This window comes from Homo sapiens, chromosome 3, assembly GCF_000001405.40.
Source record: "Homo sapiens chromosome 3, GRCh38.p14 Primary Assembly".
NCBI classification, from domain to species: domain Eukaryota; kingdom Metazoa; phylum Chordata; class Mammalia; order Primates; family Hominidae; genus Homo; species Homo sapiens.
This window is the reverse complement of record NC_000003.12, coordinates 108,390,371-108,406,137: the sequence shown is the minus strand read 5'-3', so window position 1 is coordinate 108,406,137 and position 15,767 is coordinate 108,390,371. Positions and strand designations below refer to the sequence as shown.

The 15,767-nt window shown below is 41.2% G+C and overlaps 1 protein-coding gene across 2 annotated transcripts in view; it reads left to right on the top strand.

Annotated features, from left to right (window-relative positions):
- MYH15 (myosin heavy chain 15) overlaps positions 1 to 15,767 on the top strand; it is a 170,705-nt gene that overhangs the window by 144,935 nt on the left and 10,003 nt on the right. For both annotated transcript variants that reach the window (XM_011512559.3, NM_014981.3), the window contains 5 exons: positions 685 to 800; positions 6,871 to 7,063; positions 7,298 to 7,501; positions 11,982 to 12,107; positions 14,208 to 14,378. In XM_011512559.3, coding sequence (XP_011510861.1) covers positions 685 to 800; positions 6,871 to 7,063; positions 7,298 to 7,501; positions 11,982 to 12,107; positions 14,208 to 14,378 — 810 coding nt within the window. The remainder of the gene's footprint in view (positions 1 to 684; positions 801 to 6,870; positions 7,064 to 7,297; positions 7,502 to 11,981; positions 12,108 to 14,207; positions 14,379 to 15,767) is intronic.

Here is a 15,767-nt window from a genome sequence, read left to right as displayed (position 1 = left end):
TGCTTTTAGAATTGAATTGCCTTTATAACATCCCTGCAAATAATTGCCTTAACTATATTTGAATACACAAAGGGGCAAGGAATCTTCTGCCTGTCAAAGAAATTCATTTGCAGTAGTGGTACCAATTATGGTGTTAATGGCTCACACTGAGTGTTACATGTCAGGTACATTGTAAATTCCTTTATTTGTTCTTCATATGACAATATTTGGACACTACCCTGTTGTTTGTTCTCTGAATACATCCAACTTTTCCTCTATCCCCTCGTGATGTCCAGAATTTAATAGAAGATTCCAGGTAGGAGTTATCACCTTCCTTGTTCTAGCTCTGATACTTTTTAAAATTTATCCCAAAGTTGGAATATGTTAGAAAAAGTCAAGGGTAATACATTAAAAAGTTTAAATATAGTCACAGACAAGAGTGAAATTTTCTATTTTAAAATAGGCTTTAAAATTCTAGTTCTGGAGCTACAGCTGAAAGACCTAAGAATGTCAAATCTATAAGTGAAATGACAAATGAAAGCAGTTGCTTGTCTCACTGTGTTGCAATCTCTAGGGACCTGGCTTGAACCTATATCTCTCCCAGTAACTCTAAGAGAGCTACATTAGCGACATATGTTTTGGGTAAAAAATACAATTTTGTCTAAAAGTGGACTTCATTTAATGCTTTTTATTTATGTATTCCAGGGAGCCCTGGAACGTAATGAAAGCAAGATTCTTCATTTCCAGCTTGAACTCTTGGAAGCTAAAGCAGAACTTGAAAGAAAGCTTTCAGAGAAAGATGAAGAAATAGAAAATTTTAGGTATTTAAGATGATTTTGATGTGTAACAATTATGTATTTCTGAATCCTTGACTAAACAGAGCTCATTATGTCTGGCTGCTTTTATGGCCCCTGTTGGAGCATTACCAAAGAAACTTAGTGTAACTCTATATTATTTTCTTTTATATACAATATCTATAATCGTGTATAGATATTCCTTTATACACAATTAGATATCCTTTTATACACAATTGTGTATAGATATTCCTTTATACACAATTAGATATCCCTTTATACACAATTGTGTACAGATATTCCTTTATATCAATAGTGGTGAGCTTACTAGCTATCTATATACGATTATTGCCAGATTTTATAATTTTCTTATATTTGAGGAGCTTCTACTGTCATGTGAGACTCAAGACAACACCAAATAAATGATTATATGTATAAGGACTGTGCATACTGTCTGCGTGTCCCTATAATGCCACGTTCTTGGGCATTAAGAAATTGACTGAAAATGCTGAGCCATGGAGAAAAAAATTAAAAAATTAAAAAATTCAGTGCTGTACTTTCAGACCAGAGTGAAGTTTTCACATACCCCCTGCCTGTACCTGTAGCCATTTGTTTGAAGAGGAGCAGAAGCCAAGAGCTAAGCTGCTTATTGAATCCTTGTTAAAGCAGCTGAGTCTTAATAGTCAGGAAACTGAATTAGACAGGACTCATGGGTTGCAGAATGTTTTCTTAGCTTTGTCATAACAAGCTGATGACTTTAGACATTCCACTTCTTAGCTTCTCAGTGAAGTGAGGGGATAAAAGCAGTCCCTACATGTCACAGAAGGTGGTGAGGAAGATCAGTAGGCTGATGTTGGCAAAGCACTTCACACGCTGTAGATCAAAGGCACAATTATAAACACATGGAATTAACGATGATTATATTATCTAATCTGTTCCCTTAAGTCAATGCCATATGTCAGCAAGAAAAATCATTTGAGCCTGAGATTCAACTGGCAACTTACTTTCAATGTATTTGTTAAACAGTCTTTTTTTAAGAAAAAGAAAAAAAACCCTGTTAACATGTTCAATTGAACTGACCTCTTTCCCACAGCCCATTTTTAGACAAAACTCTCAAGGGGGTCAATTTTTTAATGAGGGTGTCAAGCCAAATTTGGCCTTCTATGTGCTTTGAGTTATCTTTGCTCTCACTCACTGGCATTTTCTTCTACAGGACTGACTGTGGCGAGGAATTCTGATCTACTTAAGAGGTTCTGAGTCAGTGTCTAAAAGAATTTTTTTGATGAAGGGCAAAAACCCTGGGCCTTGATATTTGCCCTACTTCTTTCCACAAGGAATAAAAATGAATGTCTCCTTGTGCAGATAAAAAAAAAAAAAGCAACAAATAACACTGATTTCAAGTAATATCAGACCTGTGCCTATAAATAAACCCAGCTGAGGAGAAATGAATCCTCAGAGAGCCTGTGTCTCGTCAGCTACATCTGAATGTCGTAGAGCAGTTCACCAATTATAATAATCTTAGTGCGAAAAAAAGCCAGAGATCCAAAGAGCTAGGGCTGGAAGAAGAAAGAACTGAAGGATAAGCATGAGCCATGAGGAGCTGAGAAAAGAAGGGGTGGACTGGAGGCAGGGGGGTGAGCTATTCATAAATTTTAGTTAATGATTCATAATAACTATAATAGGTAGATCCAGAAAGAAAAGATGAGCTTATCTTACAAAATATCACAAATACCAGCCCAGACCCTTTCTGCTCTGAGCACAGATTGTACCAAACTGCCAAGGTTTAATCTGATAGTTTCACTTTGGGGCTAGCAAGGGCATCTTAAGGAAACTGAATAGAATGCCAGGAGGAAAAAAAAAAAAAAAAAGCCAAACACAAGATTCCAAGCAATCAACGATAAGCCAGGGAAGTTATAGAACAAGGAAAATATTGCCTGAGGGCAAGATCAGGTTCAAGGTCCTATGCCCATATAACCCATCATTAACTCCACAGAAACAGAAGGTGCCCAGGAAGACAGGACCTGGTAAGTAAGTTAAAGGGACCAGGAAAGCAAGAGAAAGAGACCCACAGGCAAAGGCAAAACCTTGATAGTACAGCAAACTGGGTAACTCATTCAACTAATTCTCTGCTGCCAAGCCATGTCTTCCACTCTGGTGAGGCCTGATTCTGAATGAGCCCAGCCTGGAGGCCTGTTGGGGGTGAAAAGTACAAGCAGCTGGTATGTATGTGATATGTTTCACTTGTTCAACAGATATTGGAGTGCTTAATGTTCACCAGACACTGTGCCTCATATTCTAGTCAGGGCTTCATAGACATTTTTGGATGATAGGGTATTCCATTTATTTCTATAATAAATAAATAATGTTATAGTTGACACAGGTAGAGGTAGGGAGGTGACGGTGCAGTCACTGATGGAAGGAGAAGAAGAGCTGGTAGCTGGCTTTGATCTTCCCATCTTATTAGACAGGAAACAAGGCTAGCTTGAAGGCCAAATCATTGCCATAATTGCCATGTTAGTCAAGCCCTACTGCATGGCCCAAGACTGAGCTGACAACAGGTTGGTCAGGTGCATCCTGCATCTTCAGGGAATTCTCTGATTGGAGGAAATGTTGAAATGTGAGAGTCATCACACTGGTCCACAGCCATGGTCTTTCTGAGCTGTATTCTGCTCTCCCAGACACACCCAGAGAGGTGTTTTTGGGAATGAGGCACTGAACTTCTTTATTCTATCATACTGTGCTTGTTTGTTTTGGGTTGATCACTGATTGAAAGGCTAGGCAAGCTTTTTCTCTAAAGGGTCAGATGTTAAATGCTTTGCTAGCTACATGTTTTGTTTGCCACAGAGATGTGGCAACTACTTAACACTGTAGTTGTAGGTTGGAAACAGCCATAGACAATAGGAAATAAATGGGCATGGTGGGATTTGGCCCACAGCCCATAGTTTTCCCAACCCTGGTCTACAGCCCCAGGTATATAGTAATGTTCCTTCTGTAAAGTCCACTCCTCTGAACTCAGTCATGTCAAACTTTGCCACGTGGTCTTAATTTATATACACCATCTGACTTGGTTTCTTTTATTGTCTGAGTGAATCTCTGCCAGAATATGCTCAAATCTTTTCTCACTTCTAAGTAAAATATTTTCGAGTGTCTTTGAAAATTAGAACCTCAAACTCAGACATGGTAGCAAAATAGCTTGTTAATTATTTTAAAGCTGGCTCATATGTATTTGGATTAAGAAAAAAAAATCTCTTATTTCTCATACATAGATTAGCAATATCGTAAGGGAAATAAATGACCTACTGCATTGTCAATGATTTAAATGCTGAGCTAATGATTTTAAATCATTAGCTCTTCCAAGTTCTATCATCTTGATTTTTCTTTGCATTTGTTTTTTAAATTGTATTTCACATTTTAGGAAAAAGAAGGTACTTCTTCCTATATTGCCCTTGGTCCTGAATGCATCATGTTTCTTAAAGAATGTACTTGAGGGAGTTTTCATTTTAAAGATTTCTTGACTCTGTATGAAACATGTTGATTGTTCAGCAGCCATTCTACAGGACTGTATTATACCCATGCCTTTTAAACCATCTCACTTTTTACTTGTCTGCAGGCACTCATGAAGTTTCATAAACAACTGTGGGAAAAGTGCAGTTTGAAACATGCAGTTTGTCTGCTTAAGTAGAATGTATTTCTGTACAGAGGATTTTGACACCAGGCTGGGGATGCTTCAGTGTTCCTGTGTAAGGAGAGCCAGCTGTGGCAAAAATGAGAGTTTCCCAATGTAGGACAGATAAGTGTCTGACAGATTTTGGTGATGTGAGTGTGAGCATCCCTGTATTGGTTTACTATGGCTGTCATAACAAAATGCACAGATGGGTGGCTTCAACAGCAGAAATGTATTTCCTTACAGCTCTGGAGACTAAAGCTTCAAGATCAAAGTGTTGGCAGGTTTGGTTTCTCCTGATGATCCTCCTTGGCTTGCAGACGGTCACATTTTCACTGCATCCTCATCTGTGCTTTCCTCTGCGCACATGCATCCCTGTGTCTCTTCCTCTTCTTATAAGGATGCTAACTAGTCCCATTGGATTAGGGCCCCATCCTAACAGCCTCATTTAATCTTAATTACATCTTTAAAGGCCCTATCTCCAAATATAGTCATATTCTGAAGTCTTGGGGGTTACGGCAAGAACGTGTAAATTTTGGTGGGGACATAATGCAGTTCCTAAAAGTCCATATTAACTTTACCTAGTGGGATCCCTACAGGATTCTGATCTGGAAGCTGGACAAAAGCCCAGAGCCTAAGGACAGGCATGAGATACCAACCTCAGCTTGTGAGGACCAGGGAGATGGGGTTGGCAGAGGATAGGTGCTCACATTGGGCTCTGGAGCCAGACAGAGTTATTTTCTATACATTTCCATAATTGCTTCTGAGGCCTCCCTCACCAGTGGGCAGAATGGGGGTCACGAAAAGTAGCACCTCCACCTGTCAACCAATTTCAAGCTCTGACCTCTCTCTTCCCCCTGTAGGCCGTATGCCTTCTTTTTTTCTTTTTTTGAGACAAGAGTCTCGCTTTGTTGCCCAGGCTGGAGTGCAGTGGTGCAAACTTGGCTCACTGCAACCTCTGCCTTCTGGGTTCAAGTGATTCTCCTGCCTCAGCCTCCCAAGTAGCTGGGACTACAGACACATGCCACCACGCCTGGCTAATATTTGTATTTTTAGTAGGGATGGGATTTCACCGTGTTGGCCAGGCTGGTCTCGATCTGCCCACCTCGGCCTCCCAAAGTGCTGGGATTACAGGTGTGAGCCACTGCGCCCGGCCTGTATGCCTTCTTAATCGACCTCACAGAGCTTAGGACACTGGCTTGATGACAATTCAACATGGAATCTAATTCTGATCTAATCTGATTTGTGGAGATAGGCTCTATGAGAAAGAAGAATAGAAAGGTTTTTGCCTTCTCTGTTCTCTATTATCTGTCCAGCACCAGGTCCCTGTTTCATGAATTGAGCTTAACAGGTCATGTGTCAATTACAGCAGTTAAACTGTCCTAACAATCACCAAATCTTGGTGACTTAAAACAAATAGAAGTTTATTTTTGCCTATGTTTGAGGCCATTGTGAGGTAGGATGAAGAGTCGGTCAATAACATTCAAAGTCATTGAAAGACCCAGGTTCTTTCCATCTTGTGACTCCATGACCTTCTGTATGTGGCCATCAAGTTTGGTAGAAAGGGGGAAGGGAGAGTGCAGGATCTCACAAGTGAACATTTCTATGGGCCAGCCCTGGAATGGTAAACTTCATTATTCTCCACAGTGCATTTACCAGAATCTAGTCACATAGTCCCAAACTAACTACAAACAGTTTGGGAAATACAAATTCCCATGGATTCTCCCAATTTTTTATTTTTTATGGCCTTCCTAAACACATAGCTATTGTCTTCTGTCACTTTGCAAATACGTTTTTAGTTCTAGTTTTTTTTCTTAGGAAGGAATTTAAAGTGTTAAAGTAATTCAATATCACACAATTGGTTGTCTCAGCCAATCCTTGGGTGTACTCTCAAACTCCTAGAGAAAGATAACCATTTTATTCTAGGAGAGTTGTGTCTCCAGGCTACTATAGCAGTATTGCTGCATCTCAAGAATTGTTCCAACCTGAGTGGCTTTTTCCTGCCTTGTTCAGACATTTTTCATCATTGAAAGTAGTTGAAATATTACGGCTGTCTGAAAGAGCATCCTTCCTTCATCCTTAGCCACCACAGGAAACCCAGGTGCTTGCCCTAGGTCATCCTTTATGGGATATCAGATAAGACTAAAGCTGCCTCACAGGACCTTGAAAAGCTTCTTGTATTTTCCTGAATTCTTCAGGGAAGTTGGTCTGGAAACCCTACGTAGTCCATTATGGTGGACATATACTCACTAACCTAACTTCTCATTCTCTCTGTTTTTAAAATAAAAGCACTTAGACTCATTTTGTTAGTTACTTAAAATTTATCTTGGATTTTATTCTTTTTCTGTTTCTTGTACTGTTTTAAACATAGCAGGTGAATTTGATTAATTTGGATGTGTCATTTCCCCCACTCCAAATGTTATTTCAAATTAGGAGGAAGCAGCAGTGTACCATTGACTCCCTGCAGTCTAGTCTGGATTCTGAAGCTAAGAGCAGAATTGAGGTTACCCGGCTGAAGAAGAAGATGGAAGAGGACCTCAATGAGATGGAACTCCAGCTTAGCTGTGCCAACCGGCAGGTGTCAGAAGCAACCAAATCCCTGGGCCAGCTTCAGATTCAAATCAAGGTATTTTAAAACTGTAAGATGGGGTAGGGAGGGGTGGAAAATGTTTCTGCTTATGGAAGCAAACTAAGCAACAGATTGTGTTCAGCAGTAAAGATGAGGACAACAAATCTAATCTTTCCAGAGAGAAGGAGCATGCTTATGTCTAAATATATAGTCAGATCATGCATGTGTAGGTGCATAGTCTATGTTGAACTCAGAGGGATCTGTACTCCAGACCCATCTTTTCTCTCCCAGGACCTTCAAATGCAGCTGGATGACAGCACACAACTGAACAGTGATCTGAAGGAGCAGGTGGCTGTGGCTGAGCGGCGCAACTCTCTTCTTCAGTCTGAACTAGAGGATCTAAGGTCCCTGCAAGAGCAGACAGAGCGTGGCCGCAGGCTGTCAGAAGAAGAGCTCCTGGAAGCAACAGAAAGAATCAATCTTTTCTATACCCAGGTGGGGCCCATATACTCTCCCTATTAGCTGGGCCAGTTGGTTGAAGGCAGTGGTTCCCACACTTGGGGCGGCCTTGGACCATGCACAGTCGCCCTGTTAAGTCTTGGATGTGCCTGTGAAGCAAGGCATGTTCATACTCTTCATTTGTTCCCAAGTGTGTTATTTCCCTCAGGCCGCCATAACAAAGTACCACAAACAGGGTGGCGTAAAGCAACGGAAGTTTATTTTCTCGCATTCCTGGAGGTTGGAAGCCTGCAATCAAAGTGTCAGCTGGGCCATGCTCCCTCTGAAACCTGTAGGGAAATCCTTCCTTGCCCCTTCCTAGTTTCTGGTGGCTTACCGGCAATCTTTGCCATTCCTTGGCTTATGGATGCATCACTCTAACCTTCCGCCTTCACATGGTGTTCTTCCTGTGTCTTCACAGCATCTTCCCGCTGCGAGGGTCTGTTGCTGTCCAAATTGCCACTTTTTATAGGGGTACCAGTCATATTTGATTAAGGTCCACCCTAATGGCCTCATTTTAACTCATTTACCCCCTACCTCCCTTTTTTCCAGCTTCCTTTTAAACAAAATAAGACCCTATTTCCAGATAAGGTCACATTCTGATAAATAAGGGGTTAGGACTTCAACATATCTTTTTGTGTGTGTGTGAGACAAAATTCAACCCATAACAATAAGCCTTATGCCAGAAGAATGGATTGTCAGGGCATCCACAGCCAGGATGCTGGGGAGGGAGGGATGAACATTCCCTAATGTTCCAGAACCACTCCTGCTCCTGGTTCTCCTGCTCTCTCTAAGCCATGTGCTTCCCCAGCATCCCAGGATAAAAACAATGCTCCTGTCTTGGAGCCAGGAAAGCCCTAACAATTCTGAGTGGCTGCTGACAAATATGATACACCGTCTGGACTCTGGCTTCTAATGGAAGGTTATGTAAGTGACACGAAGCAAGAATTCTTAGATCCTTCTCCTTATCCTAGAATCAGAAGAAGCCATAGTTTCTAGGACAAACATCTATAGTAAATGGGTTGTGTGATAAGTGTTTATAGGGCACCCCCACCATAACCTGGACTGGTATGGATGGTATAGACACAGAATGTCTCCACTGTCCTAAAAAAATGAAGATTGAACTAAGCAATTGTAGTACACTGCTAAAAGTATAATGATATAGCAAGCACACCCCTACAGAAAGCCTTCTTTGACAATCCAAGAGTTAGGTAGCTGCACAGTATGCTTCTTCTGAGTCATGAAGGACATGTAAGAAGCCAGCCAGGTAGAGAGGAAAGTCAAGGGCAGAGACATGGGGGCAGGGGGAAGGAGTTTAGGATTCTAAGGGAAATTCACATGCTAGAGTATTCGGTGGATAGCCAGAAGGATCAGAAATCATGCTGAGATAGGTGGGGCCAGGTCACCAGTGACCCTGAGCCTGAGAGTGATGGAGTTTGAATTTTATCTTGCAGCTCATGGAGAGCCACTGAAGAATTTTGAGTAGCTAAGAGTGAAGTTATCAGATTTGCATTTTAGGAAGTTTTACTGTGGTGATTATTGTGAAGGACAGATTAAAGCACCTAGGGGCAGAACTGCTACACTCTGGGGCATTTAGAAACATCTGTGGGATCATTTTAGTTGCCACAGTGACTGGGAAATACCACTGGCATTTAGTGAGTAGGGTCCAGAGATACCAAAACTCCTTCAAGGTGAAGGATAATCCCAAGGAACTGCCCCTTCCAGAATGCCAATGTTCCCCCTACTGAAAAATACTGGATAAAAGAAAGTATAAACCAGAAATGTGCCTGTTGAAAGATGTTGTAATTAGTTTGTGCCTACAGTTTGACTTTTGTGTCCATGTGTATGACACAATCCCGTCTGGGTACCATGTGGTATAGAACAAATAGTCTGTAGGTTATAGATAATTCCCAACAGGCTAACTCAAACATTTTTTTTTTCTCCTTCAAGAAAGTTTAAATACAATGAGTTGGATTCTTATAAAATAGACTACAGACTTTTTTTAAAAAAGTAACTCATCCACTGTCTAGAACAAGGTTTCCCAATCCCTGGGCCACAGACCAGTACAGGTCTGGGGCCTATTAGGAACTGGGCTGCACAGCAGGAGGTGAGCTGCAGGGGAGAGAGCTTTGCCTCCTGTCAGATCAGCAGCAGCACTAGATTCTCATAGGAGTGCAAATGCTCTTATGAACTGCTCATGTGAGAGATGTAGGTTGCATGCTCCTTAGGAGAATCTAATGCCTCATAATCTGAGGTGGAACAGTTTCATCCCCAAACCGTCTCCCCCCAACCCTGCTACCTGGTCTATGGAAAAATTTTCTTCCATGAAACCAAATGGGTTGGGGACCGCTGGTCTATAGTACTTAATTGCTGTTGGTAACAAATCATTTGCCATGCATATCATACATGATAATGCACCAGTGGGATCCAATATGATGCAAAATCACTAGCCTAGAGAGAGATGAGGATCAGCTAGAGAAAAAGCATTCATAGAGAGGAGAGGATTTGGGGAAGAAGAAAATTAGGTAGAGGAGACCTGGTCTCTAGGGCAGAGTTTCTGAAACTTGATGTGTACATATAAGAATCCCTAACACAAAAATGTAAATTCTCAGATCTCACCCCAGATCCACTAAATCAGAAGCTCTGCAATGGGACCTAGAAAGTGAACATGTTCTCAGGTGCTACTGCTCATAGAAAGACTACCCTTTGACCAGCACTGGTCTAGGTGATATTATTCACAAGGACCTCTCCCCAACCTAAACCATGCTGCGGCACCTTGCAGTTACTAGAACATTATCAAGCAAAACATACTGAACCTTTTAGGGAGCCTTCTTAGCTACCTCCTGCATTTCCAGATCTCCAGCCTAGGACTAACATTTGAGGCTAAACTTATCTTTGACTGATTACAGGTGTCTTTTTCAAACTTGAGCTGTGACAATCTAGATTACCTTTCTGCAAAGCACTTCCTAACTCCCTTTCTCCTAAAAAAAAAAAAAAAGAAAGAAAAAAAAAACAAATTAGAGAGTAATTCAGTTTGCAAAGATTTAAACCCTTGTCTCCCTAGCAAATTTTAAAGGATTCTATGTACAAACAAATTAGTATTTGTACTTATACCTTCCTCTACAAAGAAATAGTTTCTATGGAGTCTGTGCTGTGAGCATCCAAAAAACACTTCAGGAAAATACAACTTAATTCCACCCCATCTCTCAGGCCATGGCAGTGGAAATCTAGGAGGTATACAGGGCCTGGCTTTCCATAAGGACAAAAGATGGCAGTCTTGATAAAGATGCTTCATGCCATAGAGAAATGGGGTAGATAGAACCAGTGATGCTGGAATATCATTCTATTTTTTATTTTTCTTTTTTGAGACGGAGTCTCACTCTGTCACTCAGGTTGGAGTGCAATGGTGCAATCTCGGTTCACTGCAACCCCCGCCTCCCAGGCTCAAGCAATCCTCTCACCTCAGCCTCCCGAATAACTGGGACCACAGCTGTATGCCACCACACCCAACTATTTTTGGTAAAAGTTTTGGTAGAGACGGGGTTTCACCATGTTGCCCAGGCTGGTCTCAAACTCCTGAGCTCAGGAGATTCACCCCCGTCAGCCTCCCAAAGTGCTAGGATTACAGGCATGGGCCACCACACCTGGCCTGGAGTATCCTTCTATTTCCAAGTCTTCATCCTGCTACTGAGAAAGGCACTAGCCAGAGGCAAGTGAATGTGAAACGGATAAAGTGAAAGGAGAAATAAAAAAATAGAAAGCCTATGCCTTTTATATACACTGCGAGTTTTCACACCCTCAGAAAAGCTGGGCTTCAAACACAGACCAAATAGCAGCAAAAGGATATTTGGCCTCTAGTGTCACAACTCAGGAAGGAAAGAATTAGGGCAGCACCAACCACAGAACACAAAGAATCCTCCGTGGTAATGAGGGTACCTAAGGGCTGGAGGAGGCTTATTCTGAACTACTTTCCCCACCTCCTCACTGTAAAGTAAGATAGGAAGGGAAGTACAAAAAGAAGAGGAATGATTTTTTTTGTTTGTTTCTGGAGCAGCATACTTGGAGTTACAATTTTTATTCCCCAACCTCTGCTCCTCAGATGTCTGCAACTGACCCCAACTTCTGCTCTAGAACACTTGTTTCTACCACATCCAAAAGCAAGTGGCAGAGAAACATTTCCTCAACCCATTGAAAACCAAACACGTTTGGGGCTTGTAGGTTATCTAGATACCCTTCTTCCCTTCTGATTCAGGCTGCCATCTCTTTAGTCTTGAACTTCTAATGGGTGAAATCCCTTCCATTCAAGTTTGATGGCAAAAGCCTTTCGGGATTGGGAGCACTGCTTAAGGGACTATGGCTCACTATAATAAAATTTGCTTCTGGCCAGAGCTGACTCCCATTGCATGTCCTGAACAGACCAGCTTGCATTTGCATTGCTGGTTTTTACTTGCCTAATAGGAATGCTGCTTTTCTTTAGAACACAAGCCTCCTCAGCCAGAAGAAGAAACTGGAGGCTGATGTTGCCCGGATGCAGAAAGAAGCTGAAGAGGTGGTGCAGGAGTGTCAAAATGCAGAAGAGAAGGCCAAGAAGGCAGCCATTGAGGTGGGTCCCTTGACCACGTACTCAATCCTGTCTCCCAGAGTTCACTGGCGCAGTGGCCAAGGGGCAGGGCCACATCTGCAGCCAAAAAGTATTCCATTGATTTCCCATACAGCCAGGGGGAGGTTAGTCTGACCTCTCTGCCTCCCTGTTCTCATCTTGAAAAATTAGGCCAATTAGCTCCTCCCACCAACATACCCTGGTGATGAAAAGGAGCAGTTGAATTGCTATAAGCAAAACCTTATAAAAGCAGGAGTCTTCTTTTGTTTTGGTTAAGCCACTTTTCATTTGTGAATCAATACATCTAGTGTCTAGAAACAATTCTTTCTGTGTTTCCTTACAAAAAGCTATTTTTCCTAGGGTCTATAACAGTTTTATGATGATGATTTGGAAAGAATGTTTAATTCACTTATTTTTTTTACAACCTGTACTACTGCTTGAAGAGCAAAATCAGGTTGGTAAAAAAGGGTTTCAGGGCTGCTGTACTTTCTTTATTTTCCAGTTGATGATGGCAGTGATTTTCCTAAATGATGTTGAGCTCAGAGTTGGCTGCCAGCTTTGGCGCACCTTCATAGGGACTGAAAAAAGGCCACCCTCTGGGCACCCCCTGTGGGCAGATGCAGCACTTCTCTCAGCGGGCATGGTTAGCGGAAGGTACCACTGGGAAAAATATGTTAGTGGAGGGGGAGGTTTGTGTGTGGCAGATTCAGCTTTGAAGGTCCCAGAGCTTGCAGAGTGGGGCTTGGGGTTGGTTTCTGTCTCTGCTCACCCCTTCTCCATCAAGAGCTTTTGTGCAGCCCATCAAATGCACAGCCACATGCAACAGCCCTGATCCTCCCACATGAAGGGAAGCAGATTCCCCTGCTAAACTAGGAGACAGGACATTTGATTATATTTTACATTAGTCACTTTAAAATTCAAAGGAGGTGAAGAGCTTGTATCTATATTTGCTCAAGTTATTTAACACTTGGGGAACTAAACAAAACCATTGCACCAAATCCCAACCACCTAATCATTGTAGAATCCAGCCCCCTCTAAGAATGGGCAACCATGCCTATTCACTCATCCCTTTTGTATCAAGGCGGATATTCTGATCTCTGAGGAAAACGAGGTGTGTGAAATCTTGAAGATGTTTGATGGCCAAGGGAACAAATATGTGTAACATTTATGAAAATCCACACAGGTAGAAAGGAATAAAAATAGCTGCTCCTGTTTGATAAACATATGCAATCATATATTATGAAGATGCTCTCTGCTTAATCTTGCCTTGATAAGATTTTCTTGACAGTGTTGAAAAGTGAACTCATCTCTGACCCCAGCCTCCAAGCCTCCCACAGTTTAGCTCTGAGTCCCAACCCCACATCACAGAATGTAATTCATTCTTTGCCCTCACCATCTGCATAGAAGTCTCACACTTAAATTCTGCAGATGGTTGGTAACCTGATAGACAGAAAAGCTTGGGCTGTGAGGGCCATGTTCTTACATTAAATGTACCTAGAGATTCTCAAAACAGTTCTTAATGATTGCATTGAGACACCAAGCCCTTGTACACACAGCCAAAGCCAAGAGCAGGCTTCACAATTAACCTTTTTCTTGCCAGATTATTGGCAGTGAGAGCATCTGTTACTGCCAAATTCCTGGAGCCAAACTTGTTTGTGTAGTGAATCACAGAATTATAGAAGTGAGATGTGAAAAGATTTTTGTAGGCACTTCTCCATATCTTTCCTGGTGCATTAATGTGACACCGGTTACTTTATTCAATAATCAGTCATCCCAGTGCTTTATTCAATTAAAAGCCATTGCTTCAGTTGGTCATCTTTATTTTAATACAGGTGTTGCATAATAATGTTCATATGTTTCTTCATCTTTAGTCTGTTTCCACCACTCCTTACCCTGTTCTCTCCTGTAGCTACTGCTGTCTCTATTGCCTTACTGTTAACAAACTCGAGGGTGGTAGTGGTTAGGGAGATTATAATGGGAAGAGATCACATACATAGAGGCAAGGCGTGGCAGCCAGTCAGACCAGGAACTAAAGATCATGGGTAAAAATGTTAAGATCAATTGACTGCTGAACTAGCTCAGTCCCTTTTTTTAACCCCCTAGGCAGCAAACTTGTCAGAAGAACTGAAGAAGAAGCAAGACACCATTGCCCACTTGGAAAGGACAAGAGAAAATATGGAGCAGACAATTACAGACTTACAGAAAAGGCTGGCTGAAGCTGAACAGATGGCCCTGATGGGGAGTAGAAAGCAAATCCAGAAACTAGAATCCAGGGTAGGAGTCTGGGTAATCATGAGGGCTTGACAGTCCCCAATTCAAGACCTCTTTGTCCTGGAATGTGACACTAGATCTGCCCCCCAACACACATACCCTTTATCACTTTTGCTTTTAGTACTTTCAGATATTTAAGAGTGTCAGATCTCAATATATGCATTCATTCTTTGCTTGACTTTGGGTGAGCACATAGGACTTTCCTTGGACTGGATGAAATCTGCCTTCCCTCTTGCTAACTAACATTGCAGCCCTTCTTGCTCACCTCACCAGCTCCAGGCTCTCACTCCAAGGCTACCTGGTGTTTCCAAACACACCCCTGGCAGTCTTGTTTCTGTGCCTTTTCTCCCGTTAATTCCTCTGCAGAGAATGCCCATTTTCTGACAGCCAGAGAAAGGAGAGAGAAAACAACTAAATCAATGATCAAGAAAGACTTAGAGAAGATACAGTAAGGACTGACAGAAATGATGTAGTATCTGCCTTCAGGGAGCTTAAAAATGAGTAATAGCATCTTGAAAATAAGATTTGTAAAATTATTGAATCAATTTTAATGACTACAGACAAGGCATATGATAAATGCTACAAGAATGGAAAGAATATTCAACTAGGATTCAATTGTTCAAAAGGGCCTCTAAAAAATAAGGTATCACCTTTGCATGTTTATGGTATATCCATACAATGGAATACCCATGTCCATTTCGGGTACCTCCATACAGTCATACAGTGAGGGCAATGTGGAAAGCGTATATACCCTTTTGTTCAAGAAAGTGGGAGAATATGAAGGTGTACACATTTGCTTATATTTTCAAAATGAAATGGTAACAGGATAAATCAGAAAAATAAAAATGGCTATCTATGAGAGGATAACACAGAGATGACAGTTGGACCCTCCTAATGTACCTTGTTTAGTTGTTTTGATTGGAAAATCATATAAATCATTTGCATACTTTATAATTAAAAAAACAAGTTTAAGTCAAAGAAAAAAACTCAGCAGTCTCTAAAATTTTAACACCAATGGAAGCAAATGAAGTTAATGATATATTAAATTGGGGGCATTAAACATACACAAGTAAGAATTATTCTCAGTGACTTTTAAACATAATGTTTTGTCCATACATCCCTCAATATAAGGACAAAATAACAAAAGAATGGCAAAAACCATGCATTTATAACTTCAAAATACCAACATTTAATTGCTATTAGCAGTAAGTTTATCCAATGACATATATAAGAACCAAGATTTTTGGTATAAGAGAAACGGCATATAGGTATAAAATTTAAAAGTATGCATTTTTCCCCTAAAAAATACATGAAACTGGTTTTTCCAACTCAGTTTTAAGATTGCCAGGTTTTATTTCCAATTGCTGTTTGTTCACTATTATGGCCTAGAAC